Source organism: Homo sapiens, chromosome 3 (assembly GCF_000001405.40).
Source record: "Homo sapiens chromosome 3, GRCh38.p14 Primary Assembly".
In the NCBI taxonomy this organism is placed as follows: Eukaryota; Metazoa; Chordata; class Mammalia; order Primates; family Hominidae; genus Homo; species Homo sapiens.
This window is the reverse complement of record NC_000003.12, coordinates 149,139,818-149,155,953: the sequence shown is the minus strand read 5'-3', so window position 1 is coordinate 149,155,953 and position 16,136 is coordinate 149,139,818. Positions and strand designations below refer to the sequence as shown.

Sequence of the window (16,136 nt, the reverse complement as noted above, 5' to 3'; positions counted from 1 at the left end):
CAAGTGATCTTCCCATCTTAGCTTCCAAAGTAGCTAGGACTACAGGTATGTGCCACCACAACTGGCTAATTTTTTAATTTTTTGTACAGATGGGATCTCACTATGTTACCCAGGCTAGTCTCGAACTCCTGGCCTCAAGCAACTCACCTGCCTCAGCCTCCCAAAGGGTTGGGAAGAATATACTTATTCTTGCAACTTTTCTGTAAGTTTGAAATTGTTTCAAAATAAAGAGTTAAAATAATTGCCAGGGATGAGTAGGAAGCTGTCACTCTTAGATCAGTAAGGATGCTCCCTCTGGGTCCCTCCCCCCAGGACAATGCTGCAGTAGCTGTGGTGCCCTGGGACAATGTGCTAACATTTCTAAATAAGAAGAGTGGGACAGGGATACATAATCCTAGATTTATTTATTTATTTATTTATTTGCTCCATTTCTTAGCTATCTTTGCTAGAGTTCAAATTAAGGTCAAAGACTATGTTCAGATTGGCCAATCGATCTTCTTAGGAGAGTGGGTATGAATAAGGGAGTCTTATGCTAGTGAAGGGAATTTCTACTGGTTCCTCGGATGTCAGAAGCTGTAACAATGAGGAGGCAGAGAGAGATATACATTCCACTGTCAGACAGAGCCAGGAAGCTGAATGGCTGTGGCATCCTGAATGTATGATAATTAGAATCAATTTCTGATCATTAATTTCACTCTAAATATCTACAAACAAGAATCAGAAGTTTGAAAAGAGTACCATCTCTTTGTACAGCTGCACTGGTGAGATCGTATTCACAATATACAAATTCCACCCAGCCTCAGCTACAGGAGGTATTTTGATTTTAACACTGGTATCTTTTCTCGAACTAAAAGCAAAACAAAGGACAAGAATTTTAAAATGACATTATTAATAAATGGTAGTTGTAAATGGTAAATATTGGATATAAAATAACTATAAAATCATTTTCATTTACTATTTTCCTCAGTGATTAACTGTACACTCTATTTCTATGGAATATTAGTTCACAATACTACATAGGCTAACTGCATTTAATATTCTGTAATTTTCATGTAATGATAAACCAACTGCTTCCAATTCACTCTGCAAGTATTCTCAAATGAGCAGTAAGTTCAAAGAACAGGCAAGTCCCATCAAGAGGAAAAGATCCTTGACTGCGGAAGTCCCTATACCCAGGCTCTTTTCTGCATTTGACTTTCATGAGTCTAGCATGCCCTGAGCCACAAATCTAAGCAGAAGCAACATCATGGCTGCTGAGAATATGATGAAGACACATAAAACTGTTAAGTCTGCTTAAAGCACTATCTTATCTCTTGCTTTCACTATGTGATACATTTTCTTTAGTGTACAATCTTTTATAATTGTTTATCAAATGAATTTTCAAATGAATTAGAATTTTTAAAACATCATTTAAAAAATTATACTATTAGAATGTCAAATGTGCAAGACTACAAACTGCTTTTCCTCTCCCCAGAAAGCTTTTAGGATCAGTCAGCCCCAGACCACTCTGTGTACACTCAAAGTGATCAGTTACCAAAGTCAACCTCTGATTCCTGTTGATGCAACAAAGCACAGCCACTAACAATTTGAAAAAGTAAAAATCTATGTTAAAAATAACCCATGTTTGATATGAAATACACTATATGCTTCACTCCCTGAAGAGATTTCTTTCTTGATTAAATTTTCCTTAGAGAAATTAGATTGCATTCTCTACCACTAAGTAGGAAAACATCAAATAGAAGCATAACTAGTCTGGAATTAAGCATTCTATTCTAAACAATGGGAAAGCAGAAACCTAATAAATAACAAGAGATGAATGTTATCAAAATACAACTTTATTTTCAGATACATGAGCACATATCTATAGATCATAAATGTGCTTTAAGGTAAGACATACATTATTAATTTCTTTCATAATATCAGAAAATAATTTTAGATAAAAATGTAACAACTGAAAGGGTCAAAGAAGAAAGACAGTAAAAAGTCCTGTAGTTTCAATTAGCATTATAGGCTCAGTCTTTCTCATTAATTACACAGAAAAGCATGGCCTTTAACTAATCTAAAACACCTTTGATTTTTACTGAAACTATTTTATAATCCATTTTCTCCTAAAAGTTTCCAGGTCAGTTATAAAGTGTATTACAGAGATTGTTAGAACCTTCTTTTCTTTCTCTGGAAAAAGACCACCATAAAAAAGCCATTTGATCATTCCAAGTTATGATTTGAAAAAAGATAAACACAAAATATACCAGTTACAACTCATTCCAGAAACTGGCAGGAATGCCTGGGGCAAGGGGATGCTTACAGAAGCCTCTTGGGTGACTGTCTTCTCTCTGGAATGGCTTCAGGTTCTGCTTTAGTCAAAAGTATGATGTGGTTTTTAAAGTGACAGATGGCTTTCAAGCCTATGAAAAGCTGTATTCTTAAAGCACAGACATCCATACTGACAGGTGGGCAAGCCTAGTAAAGGAAAATCACATATTTAAGCAAGAAATAAAGGTACATGCACTTCAATCTTCAAAAATCAGTCAGTTTATTTGATCAAATCTCTTCTGCTGCCACCATCCCATACCCACCACCACCAAAAAACAAACAAACAAACAAAAGACCAACCCAGATTCCTATTCTTAACAGAAGAGGTTATCTAAACCTATGTAACCAATAGTGTATTCCATAGAGCTACTCAGCCAACAAACTCAGTTATTGATTGATTGAATAAATACGGAAAGAGGGTCCCACAGCTGCAGGAACTTGTGTGTGTGCCCCACAGAGTGGCTCCACAGATACCTCCAGGAGATGAAGCTGGTACTCTGCCACCCAGGGAAACCCCCACAACTAGCAGGATGGTTGGGGGTACGCCCAAATGGGGTTTTTAGGAAAAACCAGACACTATGAAAGGACATTCTACTGCTTGTAGAGTACATAAAATGGTTTCTTTGCGGATGTGTGTGTGAAAGAAATGCTTGTATGTTCCGATGGCCCCTGACTGTTAGTCTGTTAGGTACGAATAGTGCCTGGAATGGCGGACAGGCTGGGACATGTCAGGTAAACTAGAGGAGCCAGCCTTTTGCTCTTGTAAAGGACCATTAATTCAAGTAGAATGAATAAGAAAACTAATGGAAGAGCTCTATTCTGGGAGCTCACAAAATGATGCTGCCAGGACCCTGCCTTCTTGTCCATGCATGCTGTTTTGATTCTGAGGTCATCTTCATTGTTACCTCCATGTAAAAATAGTTAAGGTGGCTTGGTTAGTGCTGAGGAGTCAGAATCTCAGAGGAAAAGGAGACAGACCACAAGCACTTTCAACCAGACTCTTGAGGTTGTGAAACTTTTTTCAGACATCACAGCTCCAAAGCCTGAGTCAGCAGGTGGGCTAAACGTGTGCTTGTTTAACTGGCACCTAGGGCTTCAGAACTGGTGGAGTCCCAGGAAAGGAGGAACCGTGAGGTGTGATTATGCCTTCCCCCTCCTACCTCCACTGGCCTCAAGGGCAGCATACCTCCACCAGATGCCCACCTCTCCTTATCCCTCCCCTTTGTCTCTTCCTTGTTCCTTCATTCTGCCTTTTATAAGACTCTGAAAATACATGGAATTATTTTTTTTCCAAAGGTACATTGATCCTACTTCAATCTATTAGGTACTTTAAATTACACCATCACCCCTATATAAGCCTATGTCTTTCTGAGGTTTGAAAACGCAAGGAGGGGAAAGAAGAGGACAAAGAATGGAAGTTTTATTTTTTTAATCTGTTACTTTTCTATTTTTACAAAGGAAATAATCCTGATTTTAAAGTAATCTCTCAAAAAGGCCATGTGTGTATCTTATACAAACAAAGGCACAGGAAATCTGTGGTTCTGGTTTCCCAAGAGGCTGACAGCAGGCAGTAAGCCTGGTCAGCAACAGAAAACCACAGGCAGGCCATTAAAAAGGGTCACTAGGAACTCAGAGACCATGCTTGCCATAAAACACTATCATATGACACAGTTTGGGTGACAGTGACCGTGAAAGAGTATCTCAGACACATTAGGCACTAAGTCGGGGCTGGCTTGTTAAGATAACCACCATTACTGAAGGCTTATCCTTCTGGAAAAAGGTATTCCAGTTTCCAGACAGATATAAACCAATTTTTGAAACACAGAGCATGATAATTTGGGAGCTTCTTGCAGCATGTATATTCCTAACAAATATCCAATTCAAATAGCTTATACTTCAGAAGTAAAATAACATAGATCAATATAATGTAAATGATCAGTGTATTTCTGAGAACAGAAATTCAAAGTCAGAAAACACCGAATCTCAACATAATAATGCCTACATTTATTCTGTGGTCAAGAGGCTTTTTTTTTTTTTTTTTTTTTTTTTTTTTAGAAACCAAGCACTTTACTTCTCACTAAAAATGAGATTATTGATCTACCATAACCATTAACTCTTCGATTAAGTATAGAAGGTTATCAAAGGCTTATAAAATACAGAATTACAGGCATAGCTGATAATAGTATAAATAAATCATTTTAATGCATCGTATTCAATTTTGTGCTCTTAAGTATATTGATTTCTGGACTGTTTTGTTAACAGCTCTGTAAAACTGCCACCAGTATTTCCATTTAGTAAAATACAATTGGGCCAGGCATGGTGGTTCATGCCTGTAATCCCACCATTTTGGGAGGCTGAGGCAGGCAGATCGCTTGGGCCCAGAAGTTCAAGACCAGCCTGGGCGACACGGCAAAACCTGTCTCTGCAGAAAAAAAAATAATAATAATAATAATAATACAAAAAGAATCAGCAGGGCATGGTGGTGCACACCTGTAGTCCCAGCTACTTGAGGGGCTGAGGTGGCAGGATCACTTGAGTCCAGGAGTTCGAGGCTGCAGTGATCTATGACTTTGCCACTGCCCTCCAGCCTGGGTGACAGAGCAAGACCCTGCCTCGAAAAAATTAAAAGTTAAAATCAAAAAAATAAAAAATAAAATTGTAGCATACAGTAGTTGTGAACTGCTCTCAGTTCACACTTTTTATATTCTTTACCAAACTTTAAAAACTATGCACTAAATCAATTCGGAGTGAAATGTTTGCAAAGCAATCTTAAAAACTGTCAACTAAGCCATGAATCACAAAATCCTCACTATTTTACATCCAAAAGTTCTAATTCAATACATTAGACAACCTTAAGCTCTTTTGTTCTTGCCTAGCTTAGGTCTGAGAGCAAATCTACGAGTATTCATGTGCTCCCTTGTGATCTTAAGGTTTCACTATCTTCATAAGCCAGTTCTTACCTTCAGGGTGGTGTCCATGTACGGGTCCTCCTCACGAGCTGCCGCCGCACTGCACCGCACAGTGAAACACTGCAGGTTGTTACTGAGGAGGAAGACACAGGCTGCTGAGCAAAGTGAGGCCAAGAACCAACATACCCACAGCAGGGAGGGTTTCACAGGCAAACAGGGCAATGGGCAGGGGTGACAGTCAAGTATTTGTCAAATATTGCCAAGTTAAACTTCTTCTCAATAAGAGGAATGCCTCAGAATCCCTGTGGTGTGTTTTTAAAAATATACAACTGGTCCCCATAACACCCCTAGTGAATCGCAATCTCTAGGGGCTGAATCTGGACGTGTACATTTCTACAAAACTCCATATGTGACTCTGATGTGCATCCCTAGTTAGGAACCATGGATCTGGGTCAGTATCTTCATTTTACAGACAAATGATGCCCCCAGTACCTGCCCAAGGTACAGATGGGTGTCTATCAAAACCAAGAGTAAAATCCATTTCTTAACTGTTGTTCTTCCTCAACCACCTCATGATGAAATCCATCCTGGATTATGCTGGACAACACAGACTATGCAAACTCAAATCCAATGGTCGAATTGAAAATGAGAGACCATCTGAAGGCATCTTCAGAATTACCTAGTCCAGCAGCTTGTTTTAAAGATTGGGGCATGAAAGGTTCATGACTGGTCCACCGCCTCTCTGGAGAGTAGAGCCAATTAGATCCCAGGTCTCCTGACCCCTCACACTCCTCTACCTCTTTCCACAACTCCAGGCTGCTTCTGCATACAAAAAGGACCTAGGGACTCCACAGTAAGTGCACAATAGATGCCTGGTTGTCATCTGTGGTTGTTATCTAGGTCAACCCTCGAATATTGACATTAAAAACAGTTAATTAACTTAGAAATTGCTACACAATGATGTATATTTCTGTTCCATTATGTGACGGGACAGAAATTGATATTTTTATTCCTTCCTTCTCCCTCCCTTTTTAAAAAAACTAGAAAGTGGGAGAAGTAAAAACGAACTCTTTAAAATAAAAAAAAAGACTAAAGCAAACCTAACAGTAATATTAAATTTAAAAAATGTCCTCATAAAAAAAGGCATTCTGATATTTTCAGTTAGGAGGCTTAGCACAATTTAAGAGGTAGTCAGGCCTCTCTCCATCTGCTGGTGCTTCCACTTCAGCCTCAGCCATCTCTGTCTATCTCTGCAACGTTCTAGGAAATGACCTCTGGAGTCCTGACAATAACTAGGACAGTAGCACTACCACTTACAAATCTGGAGTAGAGTTAGCAACCTTGGGAAGTAAACTGAGAGAGAGGGAAGCAAAAAAGCACCTGCAGTGGGACCGGAAGGACAGATGAGAATAGCTATGACCGCAAAAACAAATAGCCTTTAGATTTTAGAGATAAAAAGGCAGGGTTTCGGCCAGGCGTGGTGGCTCAAGCCTGTAATCCCAGCATTTTGGGAGGCCGAGACAGGCGGATCATGAGGTCAGGAGATCGAGACCACCCTGGCTAACACAGTGAAACCCCGTCTCTACTAAAAATACAAAAAAAAAAAAAAAATTAGCTGGGCGTGGTGGTGGGCGCCTGTAGTCTTAGCTACTCGGGAGGCTGAGGCAGGAGAATGGCATGAACCCGGGAGGCGGAGCTTGCAGTGAGCCAAGATCGTGCCACTGCACTCCAGCCTGGGTGACAGAGTGAGATTCTGTCTCAAAAAAAAAAAAAAAAAAAAAAGGCAGGGTTCCCTGACTTACCTCCACCTGTAGGAATCCAGTCTATTGGCTACTGTTGGAATCCTAAGCAGAAATGTATACTAGAGAAAGAATAAACTGAAATGTGCTGGCATTGAAAGATGTCCAAGATATGCTGCTATGTAAAATAGCAAGTTGCTGAACAGTGGACAGAGCATGATCAATTTCTGTAATAAATAAGGCATAGTAGTACATGCATTGTAAAAACAACAACAAAAAAAAAAAAATGGCCGGGCATGGTGGCTCATGCCTGTAATCCCAGCACTTTGGGAGGCTGAGGTGGGCGAATTGCCTGAGGTCTGGAGTTCCAGACCAGTCTGGCCAACATGGTGAAACCCCGCCTCTACTAAAAATACAAAAAAATTAGCCGGGCATGGTGATGGGCACCTGTAACCCCAGCTACTCAGGAGGCTGAGGCAGGGGAATTGCTTGAACCAGGGAGGTGGAGGTTGCAGTGAGCTGAGATCACGCCACTGCACTCCAACCTGGGCGACAGAGCGACACTCCATCTCAAAAAAAAAAAAAAAAAAAAAGTCTTGATATGCTTAACTCTGGGAGAATAGGATTTCATGGGGGGCTTTCCTACTTACACGTTTCTATAAAGTTGGCATTTTACATGATTTTATTTTGTTCTTTGCTTCTTAAAAAAATCTCTATTGCTTTCTTTAGGCGTATACCTATCTTCCAGAAACTTTTCAAGACCACCTTATGGGACAAGAGATTTTGAAACATTTATCTATCGGGTAAAATAAAAAAGATGGGCCGGGCGCAGTAGCTCACATCTGTAATCCCAGCACTTTGGGAGGCCGTGGCGGGTGGATCATCTGAGGTTAGGAGTTGGAGACCAGCTTGGCCAACATGGTGAAACCCCATCTCTACTAAAAATACAAAAAAATTAGTCGGGCATGGCGGCAGGTGCCTATAATCCCAGCGACTTGGGAGGTTGAGGCAGGAGAATTGCTTAAACCCGGGAGGCAGAGGTTGCAGTGAGCTGAGACCGCGCCATTGCACTCCAGCCTGGGCAACAAAAGAGAAACTCCGATTTGATTTGAAAAACAGGAGTGGAGATTCTTATTAAGAATCTGAATTTACATAAAACAACTGCTATTCTAATGTCTAATGGTTTCACAGTGAAGTTAATGATGTCAGTCTCCTTTAGTGCTGATAATAAGAAAAGCTCAAAAATGTCCTGTCTGGAGGCAGTCAAAACCCACGCATTACAAGTCCATTCAAACCCATAATATAATGCTTTCAGGGCTCTACACTCCAAATATGTACATAACTTATAAATAAGAGAGATGGGGCAACAGATTTAGTGGGTCCACTCACTAAATTCTCAGTGTACTTCAAGTATATGCAATCAGATGGGAAAAAGATGGATAGTCTTTTACATCTATATGATGGGACAGAAATTAGTATATTCCTTTCTTTTCCCTTTTTCCATTGTTTCTGAGATGGTATAGTTTCCTAGATTCTTCTGCATCCTTAAAAATCTTTGTCTTTCTCCTCTTGCTTGCTGAGCAAGACCTTCACCAGAGTTTAATTCTTTAATAACTTTTCACTATCTACATACTCTCACTACTTTAATAATCAACTTTTTTTTTGGCGGTAGTAAAACTTCTAAGCTTTCCTCTTTACCCTAATCTACAGTTCTATGTGTCCAAAAGCCTACTTAGCATTATGTCTTGATAATCTATAAGCATCTCAAACTCAAATGTCTAAACCAAACATCTCTTTTGCCCCACATTTCACCAGCCTCCATTGTTTCATAAAAGCAGGCAAAACCTTGGTGGGATTTTTCATGCCTCCTACATCCCCATTATCCCATCAGACAAGTCTTTTAACTTTCCCACTGAAGCCTCTCCCATGCATCCTCCCTTCTCCTTTCATTAACACTACCATGCCTGAATACCGCCCCTTAATATCCTTGCCTGAACTATTCCAATAGCTTATTTATCTATGTTCAATCCATCTTCCACAACAGCCACCATTAATTTTCCTAAAACAATGTTCTGATCATATTACTTTCTCTGGTTAAAACTTTAAAAAAAAGTCCTTAGTTTAATTTTCAAATCCTTGAGCTCTCTTTTCAAGCACTGTTTTCACCACCTGTCTACTTTTCAGCTTCTTCATATTTAAAGAACATCACTACACAACACTTTGGACACTGGAAAGAGTAGCTACCTCCACATTGTTCACTTAAGAAACACACTGCCATCAGCAGCATTTCTCCTTAAGCCAGAAATCAGGTGGAGAAGGGAGTGCAACCACTAAGAGTGGATATCAGAATCTCCAGATTGGTTCTATGCAGTTTGGAATCTCCAGCACCTGCTAGAGATTGTGATACTACCACTCAGTGGTGGGGTGATCTCTGTCCTGTGCAATTAATTTTTGGATGTTCCTAAAAACTTGATACAGTTTTTGTTTATAGTCTTCCTTCAATCTATAATGCACATCTCTTTCAATCTTCATCTACCAAAATTCTAGCTAGCTTTCATGCTTCACTTCAAACACAATCAGCTATCCACAACTTCCCCATACAACTTAGCCAGAAGTAACTTCCCTCCTCCCAATGTCAATGGCACTTTCATGAGGTCTTAAGACATTTTTCGCAAATCTCCTAGTGTCTGTGACTCTTGTGTGTCTCTCTAACCTTCTCTTCTATTGTTGCTTTAGAAAGTGGTTGGTGTATCTTATTCACAGTTGCATGGTCAGAGGGCACAAGGAAGTGCCCTGAACATAATCTAAGCTCAAAAAACAGGAAATAGAACCAAAACCATCATATGCTGCTGAGATTAAAAGGAAATGAAATCAAGCTACTGCTTGTGAACCCAGTTTACATGCCAGCATAATAGGGGAAGGCAACTCAACACATCTGCCACCAATTAGCACATGACTTTGGCCAATTCTAACCTCTCTGTAACAACTTCCCTATCTGTGCCAATCAAGGAGAGAATCAGATCATCTCTCTGGCCCCTTCACAGTTCTAAACTATTATAAATAACTCAATTTATACTAGAAAAATATGGTAGCAGTGAGAAAAAAAATTTAGGAAATCTAAAAAGAAACTTAAAGAGACGCTCTGACTGGCTGCATTGACTTTTCATTAAAACTCCCTATGAAAGTCTTCCTTTATGAAGAACCTTATACTTCCTTACAGGGACCCCTATCCAGTCTAGGGAAACAAACAAAGACAAAACCAGAGTCTAAATCTTTGACATTGAAAAGGCAGGTATGGGTCATCAAAAGACAGACTTACAATGACATGTAACTCATGCATTTATAGTACTCTATGCTAGTTCACACAATTCTCACAGATTTAGGAAGTACCTCAAAAATTTACAAATAAGTGACTCACAGGCCAGCAAGTGACCCTCTAACAGTACCTTGTAATGACGTGCAAAAATTGTGGCGTGAGTACTGCCTGCTGAGACTTTTCAGGATACTGGTAGACTGACATCAATTCAACAGATTTGACAACCATGTAGAGATAGCCCACATGAGGTAAGGAGAAAAAGCAAAAGAGACTCAGCAATTCTTTTTCCTGAGACAAATTTTTTCCATCAGATGTAAGAGAACCTGCATGCAAAAATGAAAGAAATAAAACACCATGAAACCAGTAAATAAAGGGGGAAATAATCATATATTGACTTTGCTATGCAAACTGTATCAGTGGGTAACCAAAGAGTTGCAAAGGGGAAGTTGCTCTTTATAGAAGAATGTTGGTAAGAAATAAAAAAGGAGTAATATAATTAGAATATCGGCATTGTACAACCCCTACTAAATTAACAGATCTAAGTAATGATCATCAATGGCTGTTAACATCACAAAAAGAGTCCACTGGCAGAGCTCAACACTACTTGGGTTTCAAAATAATAAAAAGAATAATAAATAATCTGAGCAAGCCTGAGTATAGACCAGCAATGTTGATAGAAATATGTGAGCCACATCTGCAATTACTAGATTTCTAGTAATCACATTTTTAAAAGTAAAAAGAAACAAGTAAAATTTTAATAATATTGTATTAACCCAACATATCAAAAATATTACCATTTCAAGAAGCAATAAACACAAAAATTAATATTATATACATTTTTGTACTTAGTCTTCAAAACCTAGTGTGTATTTTATACTTATGCCATATCTCAATTCAGACTAGTCATATTTCAAGTGCTTAATAGCGGCATGTGACTAATGGCTACCATACTAAACAGCATAGATTTCCATCTACCAACTCAAATGGAAATACAGTGGACAGAGAAACATGTTAAATGACACGTAAGGATTCACTTAGCAAAATTCAGATTGTTGGAAATTTTACAGTAAAGAGTCTAATTTCTTGTTAAATAAGATGCAAAGAAAAGAGAGGAAGGAAAGCCTAGATATTAAAAGAGCCTTAAAAGACATAGCAATCAATTGCAATGTATGAACTTTATTTGGAATATGATTCAAACAAATGAATTACAGAAGTTTTTTAGTCAATTAGAGAAATGTGAACACTTACTGGATATCTGGTGGTATCAACAAAATTTTTTTTATTTTTATTTTTTGAGACGGAGTCTCACTCTGTCACCCAGGCTGGAGTGCAGTGGCACGATCTCGGCTCACTGCAACCTCCACCTCCCGGGTTCAAACGATTCTCCTGCCTCGGCCTCCCAGGTAGCTGGGACTACAGGCGCCCACCACCATGCCTGGCTAATTTTTTTTTTTTTTTTTTTCTAGTAGAGACGGGGTTTCGCCATATTGGCCAGGCTGGTCTCGAACTCCCAACCTTGTGATCCACCCACCTCAGCCTCCCAAAGTGCTGGGATTACAGGCGTGAACCACCGCACCCGGCAACAAATTTTTTATAATGTGAAATAGCATTTTGGGTTTAAGTAAAAGAATACTTTTAGAGACATATGTTGAAATATTTATGAATGCAATGGTATGAACTCCGGGATGTGCATCAAAATAATGTAGCATGGAGCAACACTGTTGAAGCTGTTTGATGGGTACGTGGGGGTTCACTGCACTATTTTCTATCTACATGTGGCTGTAATTTTTCATAACCAAAGTTGTTTAACAAGTACCCTGACTGACACCCTTGAAGGACACCAATTAATAGCAGAAGTCCAATTCTGTACTCTCCATATTTGGCTGAAAGTCAACTGTCCAGTTTTTTTCTCCCTATTCTTTTTTAACATATATCTGTGCTCTGGCCAAAGAGAACTGCTCACGAATCTCCAAATACACATAATTTTACACCTCATATAATGTTGGTTCCCATTATGTAATATCTTTCCAAAATCTCTATCATCCATTACGGCCCAGCTCAAATACATATGACCCATCCATTCGTCTATTCAGTCAGCATTCATCAGGTACCTACTAAGTGCTGCTGTTCCAGATTCTAGGGATACAACAGTGTTCAAAACAACGTAACTGCTTTCACAGAGCCTTCATTCTAGTGATGGGGATTGGGATGGAGAGTAAACAAGTAAACTCCAGTGTGAGTGGAGAAGGGATATTTTAAATTGAGAGGTCAGAGAAGTCCTCCGTCATGAAGTTACACTTCAGCTGCGAACTGAATGACTTAAATGCACCAGTCACACAAGGCTGAGAGGAGTACCCTACGCACAAGAAGAGCAAATAATAGGTCTTAGATAAGCGTGCCTGTGGCGTCTCTAAGGAAGAGGGAAAGGCCACTATGGATGAAGAATAGTAAGCAGGGTGAGAGTGGGACACGATGGGCTTAGAGTTAAGGTCATATACGCCATGGAATGGATTTGGAGTTTTTATTCCAAGTGCTATGGGAAGCTCACTGGATCTTTAGCTGACCCTCTAATATGGCTATTGGCCCTGTCTGGTCTCCAGCCCTGTCTCACTGCAGCCCCCTTAGTTTTGCTTCTCTCAGTTTCTCAGATGTGATCCTCCCTCTGCAACAGAGCCTTTGCTGCTGCTTCTGCCTGGAAGGCTCTCTTCCCCTCCCCTGCACCAACCCAACCCTATTCCCAAGTGAGTCCAATTCGCCCTTCAGATCCTCTTTCTCAGGAAGCCTTCCCTGACCTCAAGATGAGGTCAGGGTCTTTTGTTATAGGCTGTCACAGGGAGGTTTACCACAGATCACTCATTTCAGGGTACAACTGTGAATCTGCCGTTATTCGAATGTCTCCCTTCCCCCACTAGACAATTAGCTCCGTAAGAGCAAGCACTTCACTCACTGTTAGTTCCCTAGTATTCAGCACAATGCTCAACATAGTAGGTACTCAATAAATATTTACTAAAAGAAAAAAAAATGAAGGTTAGAAACACATTTAATCGGAATAATATTTGTATCTTTCTCTAGATAACATCTAAAGATGTTAATCAGGCCAGAACTGAGTGCAGGGCCTATTAGTGATTCTCAATCATGGTGCCCATTAGACTCTTGGGGAGTTTTTAAAAAATACTAATGCCCAGGCCCTGTAACTGATATCTTGCATGTAGAGCCTGAGTATCAATATCTTAAAAAGCATTCAGGTAAGCCCATTGTGTGGCAGGGTTGAAAACAACTGCTCTAAATTATTTTCCATTCAGTCCACATTTTTACACCTAATTCACAAGCCAATCATAAGAAGCTTGGCCAAATACCCAGCTAGAACCCACACATACCTTGGCTCTAACAGGTCTCCAATTTCCTTTTTGGGCCTAGAGGCCATTTCAAAAAGGGAAATGAGTTCAGTCTGTCATGCCTTCTCCATGGCTTCTCCTAGCAGGTATGACTTCCCTTTCTAGTACTCATAGGTATTTGCTAAGGATTTTGGGCCGGGTGTGGTGGCTCACACCTGTAATCCCAGCACTTTGGGAGGCCGAGGTGGGCGGATCAATGAGGTCGGGAGTTCGAGACCAGCCTGACCAACATGGAGAAACCCCATCTCTACTAAAAATACAAAATTAGCTGGGCGTGGTGGGGCATTCCTGTAATCCCAGCTACTCGGGAGTCTGAGGCAGGAGAATCACTTGAACCCGGGAGGTGGAGGTTGCAGTGAGCCAAGATCATACCATTGCACTCCAGCCTGGACAACAAGAGCAAAACTCTGTCTCAAGAAAAAAAATAATAAATAATAATAAAATAGAGGTCGGGTGTGGTGGCTCATGCCTGTAATCCTAGCACTTTGGGAGGCCAACACAGGCAGATCACAAAGTCAGGAGATCGAGACCATCCTGCCCAACATGGTGAAACCCCGTCTCTGCTAAAAATACAAAAAAATTTAGCCGGGCTTGGTGGCGGGCGCCTGTAGTCCCAGCTACTCGGGAGGCTGAGGCAGGAGAATCACTTGAACCCAGGAAGTAGAAGTTGCAGTGAGCCGAGATCGCACCACTGCACTCCAGACTGGCAATAAAGCGAGACTCAGTCTCAAAAAAAAAAAAAAAAAAAAACAAAAAAAAAAACTTTGTTAAAGGGCCACAAGGAGACTCCAGTGGAAGAACCAAACCACCAAACCTATTACCCACATGGGTCTTCACTCCCAGCCCAGACAGAGCATTTTCACCTTGCTGCACTGTCGCACTCCTGCACTGTCATGCTTACCGGTCTGGTAAATGGGTAGCAGCTGGAGGGAATGTAGCTTGATGTCATCAGACAAGACATAGGACGAAATATCAGGAGCAAAACGTCTGTGGGTTTAAAAAGACAGAGAAAGGGAAAAATATAACTTCCATGTACTTTAAGCAGGCATATATACATAAAATGCTGGTAAAAAAAAAAAAAGCACTATAATACCTATAGAGCAGGTGCTGAAAGTGGGAATATTTTCTTTTTTCATCAGCTAATCCCGTAGACTCCAGTGTAACAGATAATCCAGACTGTTCACTTTTTTCACCAAGAAGTTCCAGGGGCTTCTGGCAGATGACAAAATCATCTGACTCAAGCTGTGAAATTTCATTACTGATGCCTTAAAAAAATAAAATGTAACAGTCCTGCTTGAATGAAAATTAGATTTTACAACATCCTCTCACCAATTAGACATATAGTAATTTCATTTATTTATAATATGCACACATTTACAAGGCACTGTGGTTGTGAAAAGACTTAGCACTTGCTCATTTAATCTCCACAACTGATAAAGTACAACAGGGTAGGTATTATCATCCCCATTTTACAAATGAGGATGTTGAAACTCAGAGATGGTATTATTAACCCAAGGTCATTCAACTAGTAACTATGAGGACTAGGACTAGAAGCCCCTCATCTAGCAGTGGTTGTTCCATTACTTCTACTGATAAATATATTCACATGCTACAGAGTAAGCTATGGACAGCCAGATCATAAAACCAAATCCCATGAAATAGGAATAACTAAATCTATAAATAACATGGCCGGGCACCATATATACCACAGACCTTCAGACTGCCAAAGGTGAAGGTTTTCTATATTCCTAAAACAAGAAAGCAAGTCAAATTCATTATTTACCTTCTTCTGTCCGTCTTATTCGATTGTTGGTCTTATGTGGATGGTGGTGAACTCTCTCTCCATTTTTAGGGCCTGACTCCAGTTTTACGATTAAGACTTCTAAGTCTGACATGACAGCAACATATCCAACACAAAAAGAAACCTCAACAGGAGTGATATTATCTATGTGTATAATTAAAGAACGTTCAAAGTCCAATAGTGAGAATTCCTCATTAATGATCTGGTACTTCAAACTAAATAAGACTAATTTATTTGTGCAGCCAACGAGAAGGTCTCCTTTCACAGGGCAACAGGAAATGCACAAGGGGGCCTCCGAAAGCGGCATTTCAATAATGTACATCTGGTCTCTGAAGGCTTTGCTGAATGGTCCCTCCACATTATGCCCAATCATTCGGATACACACACGAGAGTTTTCAGTCCTTTTATTTCTCCAGTTCACATAAGCACGTAGAAATGTAGCTTTGTTTTTCTCTTCAATTGCTACCAAATAATCTCCTGAGAAGGAATGAAGATTATACTGAGAATTTGTAATTAGAAATACAACCACCTCCCTTGCTGACATGAGTACTATTAATGAATTCTAACACAAATGGTCGAATTAAAGACTGAATAGAATAAAACCCTAAGTAACAAAATCTTAGGTGTATTTTTGACTGACATTAGGCTTTGAGGTTCTGAAAT

General features: G+C 39.9%; 1 protein-coding gene across 5 annotated transcripts in view; it reads right to left on the bottom strand.

The window, feature by feature from the left end:
• Positions 1–16,136, bottom strand: part of HPS3 (HPS3 biogenesis of lysosomal organelles complex 2 subunit 1) — a 44,095-nt gene that overhangs the window by 17,779 nt on the left and 10,180 nt on the right. For 4 of the 5 annotated variants that reach the window (XR_001740328.3, NM_032383.5, XM_047449064.1 and 1 more), the window contains exons 2-8: positions 15,456–15,950; positions 14,766–14,937; positions 14,574–14,659; positions 10,408–10,600; positions 5,274–5,355; positions 2,306–2,460; positions 739–847 (exon numbers count right to left, since the gene is read on the bottom strand). Coding sequence is in view for 4 of the 5 variants with exons in the window: in NM_032383.5 (NP_115759.2) it covers positions 739–847; positions 2,306–2,460; positions 5,274–5,355; positions 10,408–10,600; positions 14,574–14,659; positions 14,766–14,937; positions 15,456–15,950 (1,292 nt within the window). In the remaining variant the exon portion in view is untranslated. The remainder of the gene's footprint in view (positions 1–738; positions 848–2,305; positions 2,461–5,273; positions 5,356–10,407; positions 10,601–14,573; positions 14,660–14,765; positions 14,938–15,455; positions 15,951–16,136) is intronic. The other variant, NM_001308258.2, reaches the window with a different exon arrangement.